Genomic DNA, 17,912 nt, shown 5'->3' with positions numbered 1-17,912 from the left:
GAAAGGAAGGGCCAGCTCAAACAGATGGGAAAGGTAAAGACATGAGGAAGGAGTCCTGTGAGTGAGAAACAGGACAGCCTCGGGGCTCCGGGGGCCCTCATGGCCCTTCCTCTCCCTTCTATAAAGCAAGGTCAAATAGACCCCATGGAGCATCCAGAAGCAGAGGCACACAGCAACTCCCTAGATGGAAAAACATGCCGAAGGCTCAAGGTTGGGCTGGGCATGGGTCTTAATGAAGGTTCCCTCCGGGCCTTTCTTCAGAGGACCAAACCCTCCATCTCTGACCTAATTCTCCAAAACTAGGAAGCTGGTGGAGGTGATGTCCACAGAGGCACTGGCTGACTCTGTGACCTTGGGCAAGTCACTCAACCTCTGAGGAGCCCTGCATCTCTGTGCTTTTGTGACTCCTGTGATTATCAGAACAGCACAAATAAAATTTGGGAACCTGGGAAAGAAAGCATCTCACAAAGAAACTCAAAGTAAACAAAAGAAAAAGTCAAAGTCAGAGCCAGGTGCCTAGATCCCTAGCCCAAGGTTCTGTCTGCATAGATGGAAGACTGTAAGAATAATACTTTGTGCTATTTCATTTCCCAAGCCCCCCAAAGTGATAAATTTCCCCACAAAGCGGATCTGCCTTATACTCCCACGACGAGACCCTTCCCTATAAATCTGTTCATATGTTGACCCTTTCAGACAGCATTTAAAATATGTTTTCTTAATTTATGAATTCACATGATGGAAAACTACAGGCCATTAAAAACTGAGTGGGACAACTGTGTCAATATGTGAACATGTGAGTATGGGGTAACTTCAAGTGGAAACGTGGAGACTCCACCATACGGAGTACACAGTTGTGTATATGTGTAGAAAAGCAAACATGTGCACATTATTTACTGACCAAGATTAGAAGTAAATTGAGATTGTGGTTTTTATTAGTAGATATTCAATAAGTGAGTGCTTATTATTTTCAGATTCTGGCTGTTTCAGCCCTCTCAACCACTGTTTTGATAGAAGGTGGCCAGTCCCACAGAACCCTTTTTAAAGCAATGGGCTTCTGCCTGTCTTCCTCCTACCACCCCGCCCCACCTTACCCTGCTACATACACAAGCTCTCTCCCCTACACCACAGAAGTTAGCATCTGCAGGTAACAAGGAAACTCGCCTGCCTGACTGGGACGAGGAAGGTGCGGTGGTCTGGGGTGAGGAAGGGAAGCAGAGCTCCCACCCCCACCAAGCGTGGTATGGACCCCACTACCCTGGGTAGAGAGATGGCCACTGAGCTCAGGCTCAGGTGACCAGCTTCAAACCTCTGTCCTCACATCACCAGATTCTGTTACCACGAGAGCTGGAGTTGGAGACGAAGCAAAGCTCAACAAGCCTAAACCATTTTCTCCAGGGGAGGGGCTGTGGTGGTCGTTCTGGCTGAGTCAACTACCAGTGGCTCGGAAGTATTGATTGTGGATTTTGGAACTGGACACAACTGGGATGAAAAATAAGCCACTTTGTAGTCGGGTGATATGTGGTAAGTTTCTTACTCCCTCTGAGCATCTTCTAATGTGGAAAATGTGGCTAGCATTAGCTCAGGCAGTTATGGTAAAAGTTAGAACTAAGGTATATAATGTCCTCATCACAGGCCTGGCACAAAGCAGGCAGCTGAGAAATGCAGAGATTTGTAGTATAGCATTATTATCTTGTACACCTCTCTGAAGCTTTCTGGGCCCTCACTCTTGCCTGGGGAGTCTGGAGTCTGGGACCCCCTTTCAGCCAGCATCTGGCCATACTGAACTGAGAGAAGGAAAGTGGCAGGGATCAGGAATCAGTCTCCATTGGCCTGGGTGTTTTCTGAACTAAAACCAAAGCCCTGGCATCAACCTGCTCCATTTGAGTGCCTTGAGGCACTAGAAAGCTTCCAAGCAGAGCCTCTGACCAAGGAGCTGACTCTGTATTCACGAAATGAATCCTGGTTTTGCAGAAAGCAGATAGTGACTCCGAGAGCCATCTGGAGGGGGGTGGCACTTCCCTCTAGTACTAGGAAAGACAGACAGTAATCAGATCAATGAGAATAAATAGATGGCCTAGAAACAGACCCTCCTATACATAAGGACTTAATAAATGATAAAAGAAACATTATAAGTCATTGGAGAAGGTGTGAGTTATGCAAAAACTGGAGTTTGGGAAAATTGACTAATTGAAAGGGAATTAATTTTGATTCTCATCTCACAGTACACACTAAAATCCCATTTAGATCAAAGAGTTAAAGCTGCAAAAACAACATAAGGGGGAAAAGAAAGTAGCATGTCATTTTCCCGAACGGTAGGACTGAATAGTATAAAGATGCAAATGCTTCATGAATTAAGATATATATTTAATTTAATCCTTTACAAAATCCCAAATGAGATTTTTTTTTTCTAGACAGCATGACTCTAAAATTTATCTGGAAAATACATGAACAGAAGTAGTCTTTTTTCCTCCTAAAAAACAGAGTAACTATGGGAGATTTTTCTGCCAGATATTAAAATGCTATATTTCATACACAAATATGTTGTATTTTTAAATGTGTGAATGAATAAAGATACAGTAATTAAAACAGTGTGATTGTAATAGAAGAACCAACTGAACAGAATAAGACAGCTCAGAACAGTCTACTGTATATATATGTTTAAAAATTTAGCGTAAGCCAAAGGCAGCATCTAAGCCAATGGGGAAAGGAAGCCTTGTTTTTTTTTTTCTTAAACAGGGTCTCACTCTGTCACCCAGGCTGGAGTGCAGTGGCACGATCTCAGCTCACTGCAACCTCTGCCTCTCAAGCTCAAGGGATCCTCCCTCCTCAGCCTCCCACGTAGCTAGAACTACAGGATGCACACCACCACGCCCAGCTAATGTCTGTATTTTTTGTAGAGATGGGGTTTCACCATGTTGCCCAGGCTGGTCTCAATTTCCTGAGCTCAAGCCTTGCACCCACCTTGGCCTCCCAAAGTATTGGGATTACAGGCGTAAGCCACCACGCCCAGCCAAAAGCATTCCTTAATAAGTGATTCAGGGATAAATGTTTAACTATTTGGGGAAATATCAGTCTAAATCCTTACCATGATGCAACACAGAACAAAATAAATCCCAAATAAACTAAAAAATTAAATGTGAAAAAATCAAACCTGACTGGGCAGTGGGGTTGCTCACACCTGTAATCCCAGCACTTTGGGAGGCCTAGGGAGGAGAATCACTTGAGCCCAGGAATTTGAGACCAGCCTGGGCAACATAGGGAGATATCACCTCTACAAAAATAAAAGAAAAAACAATTCTAAACCTTCTTAACCAGGAGTGGTGGTGTGGGCCTGTAGTCCCAGCTACTCCAGAGGCTGAGGTGGGAAGATCACTGGAGCTCAGGGGGTCAAGGCTGCAGTGAGACGGGACTGCCCCACTGTACTCTAGCCTGGGCGGCAGAGCAAGACTCTGTCCCCCGACCTCAAAAAAAAATCATAAAATACTTAGAATAAAATATTAGTATGTTTATCTCAGTGTGGAGATGGAATTTCTAAGTATAAAAGCAATTGGAGGAATCACAAAGAAAGAATAGATATATTTGGCTGCATATAAATTCAAACCATATCTATAAAAAACATCATAGAAAATAAAGTAAACAGCAAAATCAACCTGAGAAAAAATGTCTTCAACAAAAACATCAAAAAGTTAATGTTCTTAAAATACAAAATAGCACTTATACACATAAAAAGCCCCACTAAACCCAAAAGAAAAATGTGCAAAGGATGAGAATAGACTATTTGCAGAAGAAATGCTAATGATTATTTAGACACACAAAGAAATGTTGAAGCTCACTAGCAATCAATATATGTGAAAAAAACACAATAATGAAATACAATTTTTGCCCTATTAAATTAGCAAATACTTGTAAAAGTCAATGTGGATTATTGATGAAGGAAGGTGTACTACAATGCTGGGCCCTCTCACACTATTAGAAATTTGTACAATATTTCTAGAACACAAGATGGCAGTAAGTCTCAAGGGCCTTTAAAATATTCATTCTCTTTGTGGTAATAATTTCACTTCCATTCTGAGCAGGTAAAAACAAGGACAAACATATATGTACATGTCTTTTATTTAAAATAATAAGTAGAAACAAATTAAATACTGCCAATATGGGAGAGTTAAATAAATTATAGTATGTCCACAAGATGAAATATTATATTCTGATTTAAAATTATGTCCACAGAGAATTTTTAATGATTTGGAAAACTGTTCACAGCATGTTACAGTGTGGTCTAAATAGGGGAGTAGGATTATGTGAGAATTTTACTTGTTACTTTATTCTGTTTCCCAATCACCCTCCCAAATATCTACAAGTGTAATGACAATTGTAATAAAAAAAATACTGTACTCCAAAACTCCTCATCAGCCACAATTACTTTCATAGAATAGCAGAAGGTCCTCTCCCATTCCCTTATCTCAGGGAAACTCCACTCCACCTCCCAGGTCCTAAACTAAATTAGTGACGTCTTTTCCTCCTCTGAGGTTGCCCAGCAAAGAAGGTGGATGGTGACTCACAGTGTGGGCTTTGTAGGAGGCCACAAGACCCCAAAACCTAGCATTCAAGAAAAGGAAAAGCAATTCCCCAGACTTTGGCATTGGTAGAACCTGCCTGGTTTCCTATCTAAGCCCGGCCAAGCATGAATGTGGATCAGTGACCTTGGGACTATCTCTGCATTGAGCAGGAACGTAGGCTCCAGAAGGGCAGGTTCTGTCCTGTCCACCACTGTGTCTCCGAGGCCTATCTTATGATATAGGATTCAGCAAATATTGAATGCATGGATGCACAAGTTTCTTCTTCTATGCAGTGGATGAAATAAGCCTGTTTCACAGAGTGGTTTGATGTTTGTAAACAGTCAGGCCACAGTAGATGCTCCGTAGAGGTTGGTACCCATGCCACACGTAGCTGACCACAGCAGAGGCCTCAGTCTCCTCGCTCTCGTAAAGTTAGACAGCTTCGCTGGAGGTATAAATGGTTTAGCCTTGTCTCTGAGTTTTCTCAGATGGTCTGAGACACGTGGCTTTTTTTCCCTTCTGGTTTCCTCTGAATCGATTCCGCCACTGGTGAAGGGCAGTAAATTAATAACTAAATTTCCCCCCCATGACAACAAGCCCAACAACTAATTGGCTCAATATCTCCCTGTTGCTGTAACACTTTGGGATTTTTCTAGGTGAGATATAAATAAGCCAATTCTATTAATAAGCCATTTGGCCAAGGGAAGAAAATACACTTGGGAGATCCCAAGGGGCCTGGGGAAGCCGCTCAGTGGCCCATGGAGTGAAAGACTTGATTACAGGAATGAAGTATTCTGCCTCTGTGCCCTCCTCCCTGCAAATCTGTACTCCCTGCAGACTCCTCTCAGGCTTGGTGGGGGAGGGGGAAGTGAAGCTTTGTTAAGTTTAAAAATTATAATTTAGATAAATCTGTGCATTCATTGGTGTGAGCGTGTCTCTGGAAAATAATAGTTAGCAGGGTAGAACCTGCCGCATTTCAGGGGCTTTATTGTCTCCTTATAATTAAGTCCTGCACAGAAATCCAATTACAAGTGTTCTCAATCACCCTCCAGCTAAGTGCTAACAGAGAGGGGAGGAAGGCTCCTGGACTTAAATAACTGGATAAAAATTAATATCGTGGCCGTGTTGGCTAATTAAAAGTGCCGCCTCTATTAGCAGGCCTTTATATTAATAAATGAGACTATTATTATCATATCCGACAACCAGGGTCTTTATCAAGTCTGCTCTGTCAGCCCCGCTTTTGAAAGCACAAGTTCATGGCCCCAGGTCTGGGCTTCTGTGGGAGCAGAGGGGACAGCTCCATCCTATCCAACAGTTGACTGAGGTGGGAGCATTAGCGCCCGCCGTCTTGTGTGGTCCTCACACCAACCCTGTCTAGTGTGTGTTACGGTTCCTGCTTCACAGCTGAGTAAACTAAGCTTAGATGTTGAGTAACTTCTCCTAATAAGAAGCAGAGCTCGAATTCAAACCTGCAACCTCAGGACCCTGGGTCTAGCATTCATTCTATTACAGCAGCTCATTAGCCTTACTATGGATGGGCTGGGTGGGTTGGATGGGTGGCAGATTTTTATTATGGACCAGTACCTAGATGGTGGAAAACTTCCCTTCAGTAGATCTTCAACATCCCTTGTGGGCCAATCATGTATTTACTGATCCCCTCCCATGGGTTAGGCACTGTTCTAGGTGCTGGATACGATGGCCAGCCCGCTTTCAAGAAGGCAAGCAGGTATTTACAACGACAGAGCAAGTGTAGGGTGCCGCAGAACCACACCAAGGAATATCCAACCTGGGCTTGGGAAATAGGGAAGATTTCTCAGGGGAGATGGCATCTCATTTGAGTTTGGAAGAACAAAGAGAAGAAACCCAGGCCAAGAAGTGAGTTGAGGGAAAGAGTTCCAGGCAAGGAAATCCTGTGTGCAAAGGCACCAGAGAGAGAGCAGCTATAAGCAGTTTACTGTGTCTGAAATATAAAATTCAAAGTGTGTTGTGAAAAAATTATACAGCTGGAGAGGTAAAAAGGGCCAGATCACATGAGGCAGGACCTTGCGGCTGTGCTCACAGCTTAGGCAGCTTACCCCAGGGGTGACTGAGCATCTTTGAGTGGTTTTTGGCAGAATGATGTGAACAGAAGCACTTTTTGTGTTCATCCCTCTGGCAGGAGTGTAGAGGACGGACTGGCCAGAGGCCACCCTAGAAGCCAACAGCCAGTTAGGAGTCATGCAAGAGAGATGAGAGTGACAGTGGGGATGGGGAGATGTGGCCCCTTCCAGAGACAGGCAAGAGATAGAACCGTCCAAACGGTGACTGACCACAAGTACAGTGTGAGGGAGAGGTGGGAGCCACGTCTGACCCCATTTTTCTGGCTTGAGCAAAGCAGAGGGATTTTAGAAGGTGGGAAAGAGAGGATGAGGGAGTAGTTTTGGGTGAAAATAGTAAGTTCAATTTTGACATGAAGAGCTTTCAGTTTCTTAAGAACATTCAAGGTCAGGTGTCCAGTGAGTGGTTAGATTCATGAGTACAGAGCTCCAGAGAAATAATGGCCTGGAGATAATGCTTTGGAAATTATCAGGTCACAGATGATGACTCAAGTATGATCATAGATTAAATCATCCAGGAAGGGATGGAGTGGCCACACAGGTCTTAATCTCCGTTCATCATTTCAGTCCACAAGCGCCATGCATCTCCTGTATGCAAACCACTCATCTCTTGTCACCAAGCATTTTCGTCTATTAGTATAATATTTCCTTAGCGACAATAGATGAAGAATGTCACGTCCAATTTCCAACCAAGGCTAGACATCCTCCAACCCACACAGAAACATGGAATTTAATGTGAGTCATCAGTATCTGTTGGCAATCCAGTGAACATGAATTGAAACCTTGGCTTGACCTCCAATTTACTTCAACGCCTGACCTATCATGAAACCAGGAGCTCTGAGAAAAAGTAGCCAAGTACTCTTTCAGTTTCACAGAATATTTACCCTAAGTCACCAGAGCCTGGTAATGAAATCCAGACTCAATTATTTTAATGTCTAAATTCCAAAAATAATGATAATAATGAATGAAATGCTGAATGGACTTAAAGAATGAAAGCTTTTAAGTGAGGCAGGGGTGGAAGGACGAGGAAGGAAAGAAAAATATCTGAAAACAACATCTTGTTTTTACAAAGTAATGGGCCCACTATTTGCCATCCATCAGCTAACAAATGCAGGAAAGTCCTGATTGATAGGCACACTAAGATTGGGGTGAAAGTTACAATGTGATGAATTTTCTCATGATAAGGAGATTGTTTCAGCTTTCACTGAAAACCTTGCCAGGGCGTCTGGTTAAGCTTTCTTGCTCTAGTAAGTCAGCTTATTTTCTGATCCTGCTTCTGGTCAGACCTGGGGGAAGGTGAGAGGCAAGCCTGGCCAGAGTGGAATTCAGAAGGTAGTTCCTTTTTTTTTCTTTTTCTTTTTCTTTTTTTAGAGACAGGATCTGTCTCTGTCATCCAGGCTGGAGTGCAGTGTTAAGATCATAGCTCACTGTAACCTCAAACACCTGGGCCCAAGCGATCCTCCTGCTTTAGCCTCATAGTAGCAAGGACTACAGGCACACGCAACCATGCCTGTCTGATTTTTAATTTTTTTTCGTAGAGACAGGGTCTCTCTATGTTGCCCAGGTGGGTCTTGAACTCCTAAACTCAAGCAATCCTCCAGCCTTAACCACCCCAGGTGCTGGGATTACAGGTATGAGCTACAGCGCCTGGTGTCCGTAGGTAATTTCTTACACAAGATTATGAAGTGTGAAGTCAGAAGGCAGATCCCCAACATTATGTCTGGGGAGGTACCAAGTTCAAAGCCACATGATAAGGCCAAGACCTGACCAGCCATTAAAGCCATTAGAGAAGGAGCCTAAAGGAGGCTACGGGAGGGATGGGAACAGTCAGGAAGCTGGAGGAAAGGACATAGGGACAGTGGTGAATAGGAAGGAGTCTGAAAGATCCCCAGTGCTCAAGAATTGGCAACATCTGGGGATATTCATTATCCATTGCTACATAACAAATTACCCCAGACCTGAAACAACCCACATTCACTATCTTGCAGTTTTTGTGGGGAAACTGGGAATGTCTTGGCTGGATGCCAGTGGCTCAAAGCCTCTCCTGAGGATTGAGTCAAGGTGGAGATGGGAGCTCTGCCTCCTCTAAGCCTCTAAATGGAGAGGGAGGATCCACTTTTAAGCTCACTCACGTGATTGAGGAAGGCCTCAATTCCTCATCCCATAGGCCTTCCCAAAGGCTGCCTAAGGGTCCTCAAACATGGGAGCTGGCGATTGGAGAAAGAGGGAGAGGAAGAAACAGTGAGAGAGAAACCAGGAGAGAGCAAGTGTTCCAGGTGGAAGCCACAGTCTTTTTATAACCTAATATTGGAAGTGACATGTCATCAATTCTGTCTCATTCCATTCATTAGGAGCAAATCCATAAGTTCAGCCCACACCAAAGGGGAAGAGATTACACAAGTGAGTGAACACCAAGGGGCAGAGAATGCTGAGGGCAACCCTAAAGGCTGCCAGCCACAGTGGGGTTACTTTTCAGGTCCCAAAGGCAGGACTGAGTGCATGGGCATGCCAGGTCTATTAAAAACACTATCAGGCCAGGCATGGTGGCTAACACCTGTAATCTCAGCACTTTGGGAGGCCAAGGTGGGTGGATCACCTGAGGTGAGGAGTTCAAGACCAGCCTGGCCAACATGGTGAAACCCTGTCTCTACTAAAAATACAAAAATTAGCCGGGTGTGCTAGTGCATACCTGTAATCCCAGCTACTTGGGAGGCTGAGGCGGGAGAATCTCTTGAACCTGGGAGGCAGAGGTTGCAGTGAGCAGAGCCTGCACCACTACACTCCAGCCTGGGCAACAAGAGCGAAACTCCATCTCAAAACAAAACAAAACCAAAAAATGGCTATCACACGCTGGACAGCAGAATGTGGCACCAAATTCTTCTTTGGTGGATAAGAGTCTCACAGAATTTCTGGGCCATGTCGGTTATTATTTTCCATGACAGCAGGTGTCAAGATAGAAGGTATAGACAGCTAGGGTAACCATGTACTGATTCTCAGATATTCTCTAGCAGTTGACTTTTTGAGTAAATCACTGATGGAATCCTGACATCTGTTCCCCTTTCCCCACTGACCTTTCCTTTTAAAAAAATTCTAGGTCAGGCACGGTGGCTCACACCTGTAATCCCAGTACTTTGGGAGGCCGAGGTGGTGGATCACCTGAGGTCAAGAGTTCGAGACCAGCCTGGCCAACATGGTGAAACCTCATCTCTACTAAAAATACAAAATAATTTAGCTGGGCATGGTGGCAACTGTCTGTAATCCCAGCTACTCAGGAGGCTGAGGCAGCAGAATCACTTGAACCCGGGAGGCGGAGGTTGCAGTGAGCCAAGATCATGCCACTTCACTCCAGCCTGGGCAACAGAGCAAGACTCCACCTCAAAAAAACAAAAAACAAACAAACAAACAAAAAAACACAAACAAACTTCACTGTTCTTTTCTGTGCTATAAATTAGTCTCTCCTATAAAAGACACTACCTTCAAATTTTCTGCACAAAGCTCACAGGGCTACCTTGATGGAGAAATCTTCTGGGAACAGAGTTGCAACTCTGAGAGCACAGTCAGTCACATTAGGAAAATCGAGTTGGTTTCTTTACTCTTTGAAAAGAATTTTAAGAATCAGCAAGTCTAGGAGAACGTGGGTGTGATGTATGGTCATGATGACCACACACCAAGTCAAATCTTATTCTGGGCTGCCCAGCCTGCCCTGTGGAGAAGTCTGACTCAGTCCTCTCATGATGCCTTGGGGAGACCGTGGGGAAGGGGGATCCTGGGAAGGTCCATGAAAGGAACACATTGGGACCCTGGCCACATATTTCCATACTGGGATTAGGACTTTTGGGAGATTCCCAGTGGAGACTCTATGCTATAAATACATCTGCCTGTATGGTTAAGAATAGCCAGTGACCAGGCCAGGTTTATGGAGAGGAAATAGAGAAAGTGAGAAAAGAGAAATGGAGGGTAGTAGAAGACAGAGAAGGGAGAGGAAAATAAACAAGATGAAAGAGCCCCCAGCAGCCACTGCACCCTCAGGGCCCATAGCAGCCACTGCACCCTCAGGGCCCACAGCGGCCACTGCGCCCTCAGGGCCCACAGCGGCCACTGTGCCTTCAGAACCCAGCAGCACTACGTCCCTCATGAATCAATGCATTTTACCACCTTTACTGAGTTCCTACTATGGCCTAGGCCCAGAAGATACAATGATGAACAAAATAGACATAGTTGCTGTTCACCATAGTGAGAATAACAGACATGGAATCAGTGTGATAAAGCTTGCAAGGGAGATGGCCGGTCATCAGGATGAAATTGTAGGGCTAAAGAGATTGAGGCCACCCCACCAGCAAAGCAGGGTCTGGCTTGCAGCCCTTCTGCAAGGGGACATAGGTGGGGGAAAATGCACCTTCCTCACACCAAACCTGAGCCCTGGCTTTGGGCCACAGCCCATGAGTCTCGTGTCAACTGCTGCCCTGCTCACAGATCCACCTCTCCCTTAGCCTCTCACTGTGCTGTCCATCTCTCAGGATTTGGGTGTTTTTTATCTTGTCATTGCCTCTTCTTCCGTCCATTCAGACTCTTTGGAAATGTCAAAGGTACAATAAAAATCCAACAGCTGGTGTTTGCCATGGGTTTGGAAAAGAGCAGTATCCTCTAGTCTGGCCGACAGAAAGAAGAAGGAACTATATCCAACAGATCTCTACGTGGAAGACATAGAGGGGCATTTGGCCTAAAATAGACTGAGACCCAGCGTCTGCTCCCAACTTACACATCTCTTAATGGCCCTGTGCCCCATTAAACCATGGGGGCTGACTCTCTGGGCTCGCTACAGGGAAGATTCTCAACAAAGGAAGAAAATGGTAGCTGGGGAGTCTATAGCTCCAAGGTGGGCACTGACCTCAAGTCTACCCAGAGAACCCTACCTGTCTTAGATTGGTGAGCTCCTTCCCAGCCTGCAGTAAGGCCGGCTATCAGCTCCTCCCCTTCCGGCATTCCAAAGTTCCGGCATGGACCATCCAGTCAACTCTCGGTCCTTTCTTCCAGTACTCAACCTACTTTCATAAGTGAGAGTGTCTTCCTGATGTCTGCCCTAGATCCCTCCTCCTGTTATTTTTTTCATAATTATAAGCAAAGAGCTAGAGTCACACCCAAATGTCACAGATTCTGGACACTGCAGCACATTGTAGCCACGTGCCTGAGGGCACCCACCGATCACACTGGTCAGCGGAGGGTGAGGCATCTCAAGTAGGACAGAGGGAAGCCAGGGTGGGGAGGGGTCCCCAGAGGCCCTGGCACCCCGATAGTCGGGGGACATATCCCAGTGGATATGTCTCCCACAGCCGGAGCTCCACTGACAGGCCTTGTGAATGCACTCCCAGATGAAAAGGATGAGCCCCACCCTGGGGGATGCCCCCAGCCCCAGTCCTGTCAGTGGTTAACCCAGAGCCCCTCTCCAGAGACCCGGTGTCATGACTTCTCTGGCTCCTGCCTACCCACTTCCACCCAGAGCTTTAGCGTGCATGTGGAGTCATCTTTTAATTTTCTGCTTGGCTCGGTAGATTGCAGATGCTCTCTCCCCAGAGCTCTGGGCCTATGCACAGCTTCCATTTGTTATGTGGCTGTGATGCTCCCCTCTCTCCACTTTTCCCTGCTCAGCAAGCACCAAACTCCAACCTCCCCATCAAACAAGCTTCCAGACACTCAGAGTCTGTGTGGTCCCTACTCCTCTGCCCTCCTAATCCCAAGGTTCCCTCCTTAACCCCCAACCCTGAGACTCAGCAACGGGACAGCTCCTCAAGCCAAAAGGGGCGGAGAGGGAGCAGGAAGGGAGAGACTGGGAAATCAAAGCCGCGGCCCTCTCCACATCCGCCACCGCAATCACAGCACCCTCCAACCCAGAGCGGACAAAGCCCTTGTTGGAGCCAATGGCTCCAATGCCAGCCAGCCCCTTAGAGCAATGACAGCCATGTGCTACATTTGCCCAATTCTGCAGCTGGGCTGATTACCGTGGTTCCCAAGCTTAGGGTCCAGCCCCAAACCAAACAAATTAGGACAAAAACCACAGGCTTCTTCATTCCCCTCATTCCCAGCCAGCAATTGCTGCAGGACCCCTATAATTGATAACAATGCAATAAAAAGCCCACCACCTGTCCTTTATCTCGAGGATTTGGCAGCCTGGCCGACAGCTAAGCACATCCTTCAGTGGCCACAGCCACATGGAATTTAGCACCACCGCATCTCTAAATGCCGCATCACCCCAGGGACAACCTGAGACCTGTCGTATTCAAAGACGTGGCCCAGACTGGAAGAAGTACCACAGCTGAATGACGGGATAGGCAGCCTAAGAGCGGGGAGGACTTGGGGCTAGAAGTGCCCACCGTGATGGGCCAACCCATAGAGACTGGAGCTGACGCTGGTGCTGAGGACTGTGCAGCCAGCAGATGCAGGGGTGTGGTGGAGAGAATGGCAGGAGCCAGTGGCCCAGGCCCTCCAGATGCATTTGGGAGGAGGCCACAAGGAACATCACAGTGGCTGGGAATCACCTCCCAGCAGGCCATGTTCAGAAATGTTGGGAAGCAGGAGTTGGTGTCAATGAAGTCTGGCCATCTGTAGGATCCTGTAGCACTCTGGCTCTAGCATCAAGGTTCAGGAATAGAAATTAAAACAAAGATCCAGTGATGTGTGAGGTCTGGGTGCAAGGGAGGACCCAGGTACCTGGAAGGAGAAAGAGGCAAGGAAAGAGGTCCAGTCAGGGATAGAGAACCAGATTTCGAGCCCAGGTGATGTGGACCTATTCTCCAGCTGGAGTCTAAATTGAGAGGAAGCAGGTGCTTTGGAAGCTCTGGCCAGGAAACAGCAGGCACCCCACTGCCAATGCTGGACAATGGGGGAGAGAGCAACAGCCCAAGGTCACCTCAGGATGCAAGGATCGGTCAAATCCAGGTAAAGGAAACAGAGAACACTTTGGAACTGGATCCAAAGTGAGGGTCCTACCATGGCCACAAGAGCAGTTTTTCAGGAAGGTGCCAGAAGGGTTCACTTAAAGCAGTGGTACCAGGACCAGCAGCATCGCATCCCAATAATGTGTTAGAAATGCAGATGATCAAGCCTCACTCCAGTCCGCCTGAATCAAAAACTCAGGATGGGGCCCAGCAATCTGTGTTTTATCAGCATTCTAGGCAAGTCTGACTCTAAAGCTTAAAAACAAAGTGCCAGTTCTCAAGGGAGGCATTCTTTTATTCAAGCAGTTACTCTACCTGAAGAGTTTGCTAAAACCCAGATTGCTGGATCTCAGCCCAATCCCTGATTCAGGAGGCCTGGGAAGATTGGGGGTGAGACTGATAATTTGTATTTGTGACAAGTTCCCAGGTGAAGCTGCTGTTGCTGGTCCAAAGACCACACTTGGACATCCACCGATTTAAATATCTGGACACAAGATATAATCCTCAGGCTGAAAGATGGCTAGTCTCAAACCAAATTTCTGGGCCCAGAGGGCAAGAGGAAGGCTGAGGAGGAACAATTCCAGTGAGGCAGTTGTCTTAGTCTCTTCGGGCTGCTATCACAAAATAGCATAGACTGGCGGCTTAACAACAGAATTTATTCCTCAGAGTTCTGGAGGCTGGGAAGTCCAAGAGCAACATGTCAGCAGTTGTGCTGCATGATGAGGGCCACTTCCTATTCTACTGTAACCTCACATAGCAGAAGGGATGAGGGAGCTCCTCTGGTCTCTTTTATAAGGACACTAATCCCATTCATGAAGGCTCTGCCCTCATGACCTAATCACCTCCCAAAGACCTCTGTCTCCTATCATATTCATCAACATAAGAATTTGGGGGGAGGGGGGGATGCAAACATTTGATCTATAGAAGTGATGTTATGGACTAAAAGTTCGTGTCCTCCCAAATGTAATGTATTAAGAGACACGACCTGTGAGGAAGTAATAAAAGTTAAATTAGGTCATAGGATGTGGCCCTAATCCAAAAGGGCTGGTGCCTTTATAAGAAGACACCAGAGCTCTCTCTTTGCCACCTGAGGACACAGCAGGAAGGCAGCTGTCTGCCAGCCAAGAAGAGAGCCCTCACCAGGAACCAAACCGGTTGGCAGCTTGACCTCGGACTTCCCAGCCTTCAGAACTGTGAGAAATAAATTTGTGTTGTTTAAGCCACACAGTCTGAAGTATTTTGTTGTAGCAGCCTATGCAAACTAAGACAGCAGACTCAGGGACCAAACAACCTGATTTAATAGTGAAATTAAAATAATAGTAATAATAGAAAGGTCTTCATGTTTACCCCCCAAGGTGGCAACACAGATGACTCCCTTCTGGCCCCCAGCTCTTTCAGACCCACCTTCACCTTATAACTGATCCTTCTTTGTTTTCATGCCCAGACAATCCTAACAAGGGTGCCTTGAAAATTTCTTTCTGATCCCTGCTCCTCTCTCAAGTTACTGCCTGAGCCTTTAAGCAGCACTCTCTCCCTCTGCATCCATCTCCTCTCACCTCTGCCCTCAGCCCTGGCCTGGATTAATCATCCAAAACCATAGTTAGGAGAAGCAGGGATTGGGCAGATGAGGAGAGGACTGGCCCAGCCAGTGAGTCCCTGCAGAGATAGCAGCCACAGGTCAGGGAGGCTCAAAGATTTATTGGCTACTAAACTAGGCCAGAGAGGGTGGGCTAAGAAGGCAGCACATAATCAAAGTGATACTTTATGTTGCTCCATCTCAGGAAAATAATTGTTCCACTGGAACATCATTACACTATCATTTTTCTATTCCTGTGCCACTTTCAGGGCAATAGAAACTCACTTTCTTCTTCATAGTAAGCTGCAATTTCAATAACTCAAAAGGCCTTTTCTGAGATGGAGCCATTCTCCTACCCCCACCTCATCCTCTGATGATGTAGGGGAGGACAGGTGCCTCTTCCAGACTCTAGGCTGGGAGAAAGGCCTCACTGGTTCCTGAGCACAGCTGTCCCTTCTTAGTGTTCTTCCTGCCTGTCACTCAGGTGACCAACTGTCCTAGTTGTGTCCCAGGAGGCTGAACTTTCAGTGCTAAAACCAGGCTAATACAAGGAAAACCAGGACAGTTTGTCACCCTACTGCCACCAGCTGGGGACAAGGGAGCAGCCCATCATTCATGCATTTAACAAGGATTTGTTAAATACCTACAATGTTCCAGGCACTTTTCAGGTGCTAGGAAGTAGCAGGTTACAAAGCAGGCCAAAACGTTGCCTGAGCTAGGTGTGGTAGCTCATGCCTTGTAATCCCAGTGCTTTCGGAGGCAGAGGTGGGAGGATCACTTGAGGTTGAGAGTTTGAGATCAGCCTGGACAACATAGTGAGACCCCAGTCTACAAAAAAAATTTAGAAAATTAGCCAGGCACGGTGGCTTGCACCTGTAGTTCCAGCTGCTTGAAGTGGGAAGATCACTTGAGCCCAGGAGGTCCAGGCCACAGTGAGCTATGATCATACCACTGCACTGCAGCCCAGGTGATAGAGTGAGATCCTGTCTCAAAAAACAAAAAACAAAAAAAAAAGGAGAAGAAGAAGAAGCAAAAAAACAAGTTTGCCCTCAGAGACCTTACATTCTAGTGGATGGAGCAAGCAATACACATGATACATAAGCGCATTGTATGATGTACTAGAAAATGACAAGTGCTGTGAAGAAACATGAAAGGGCAAGGAAGGTTGGTAATGAAGGGCAGAGGATGCAATTTTAAATAGGGTGGTCAGGGTAGGCCTCACTAAGAAGGTGGCATTTGAGCAGAAGTTTGAGGGAGGAGAAGGAAGAAGTCCTGAGATACCTGGGGGAAGGGCATTCCAGGCAGAGTGCTCTGCCAGTGCCGAGGTTCAGAGGCAGAGCTTGACTTGCATATTCAAAGAGCCCCACAGGGAGGTCTGTGGGGCTGGAACACAGTGAGCAAAGAACAAGCAAAGGGGAGAAAAGCACCAAAGTAGTCAGAGAGGTCAAGTTATGTAGGGGCTCTGTAGACCCTTGTAGGGTCCTTCGATGTTTTTTACCTGGAATGAGATGGAGGCAGGGACATGATTCAATTTATGTCCTAACAGAGTCACTGTGGCTGCTGTGTTCAGAATAGATGACGTGGGGAGAGAGGGAGAGCACAGAGGCTGGAAGAGCAGCCAGGAGGCTATAGCAAGGGCACAAATAGGCAAGGATGGTCCCATAGGCCAAGATGGTCACAGTGTAGGGAGTGACGAAAGCTGGATTCTGGTAGAGCTGACAGGCTTTCCTGATGGGGCTTGGGTAAAAGGCGTGAGAAAAATAAGAAGAATCAGCATGGCTTCCAGTACTTGAAGCCAGAGAGGCGAGTATTAAATCCTCAGAATAAATTATATCCATTTCTAAGACCCATACTACCCCAAAGGACGTGCACTTGAGATATTCCTGGATTTAAGTTAGAGACTAAGATGCACTTCAAATAGGATCGTTAAAACTCTGGAGTGTGGCCTTTACATGCAGAATAGATTTTCATTCATTCCTGGGCCTGGAGTGGGTGGATAACATGGCCACACAGGTCAGCTCTTTAGCCTGGTGACTCCAGATAGCCCATTAGTTAAGAAGGTCGGACCTGCTCTTAAACTCTCTGGAACTCAGTTTTCCAGTGATTGGTGTGAGAATTAAACAGGATCATCCTCATAAAACACTTAGCACAGAGCCGAAAACTTAGAAAGCGCCTCATTCCTGGTGGAGTTAACACCCACTGATGATACTCTTAGAACGCATGGTGTTGAAGCTGACAGTGACCAGCAGAGGACACCATCAGTAGAAGACGGTGGAGCTGCACTGCTGGGGAGACTGGCTTGGCTCCAACTAGCTTCGCACAAATGAGGGATTGGGATTCACAGTTTTCCTCTCTCCTCTTTCTCCTCACTCCTTTTTGCTGAATTTTAAATTTCCTCTGGATTCTCCCCCTCATTGGAGAGATCTCCTGCTGTGCAAAATGGGTCTTCTGGTTTGAGGTCTCCCCTGCTCAAAACAGCCCCAAAGCCCTGGCATTAGGGGAAAATAACGTAACCATCTCCAGCATCAGTCAGCTCTTACCTCTGCCCCAAAGCCCTGCAAGATACCCAGAGACTGGATGACTCTTCCAGTACCCTGGGCATGGGAGGATGGAGACAAGCGAAGATAAGGTTTGTCCAATTTGTTCTGGTCCCAGGAAATTCTGCTTCTTATCTCCTCTCCCATTGCCTCATCACATTGCCAAAATTACCTCGATAATATAATTCTTAATTTAAGAATTCATTTTCACTTCA

The sequence above is a fragment of the Homo sapiens genome, chromosome 1 (genome assembly GCF_000001405.40).
Source record: "Homo sapiens chromosome 1, GRCh38.p14 Primary Assembly".
Taxonomy (NCBI): domain Eukaryota; kingdom Metazoa; phylum Chordata; class Mammalia; order Primates; family Hominidae; genus Homo; species Homo sapiens.
The sequence above is the reverse complement of the archived record's forward strand: the minus strand, read 5'-3'. Positions refer to the sequence as shown.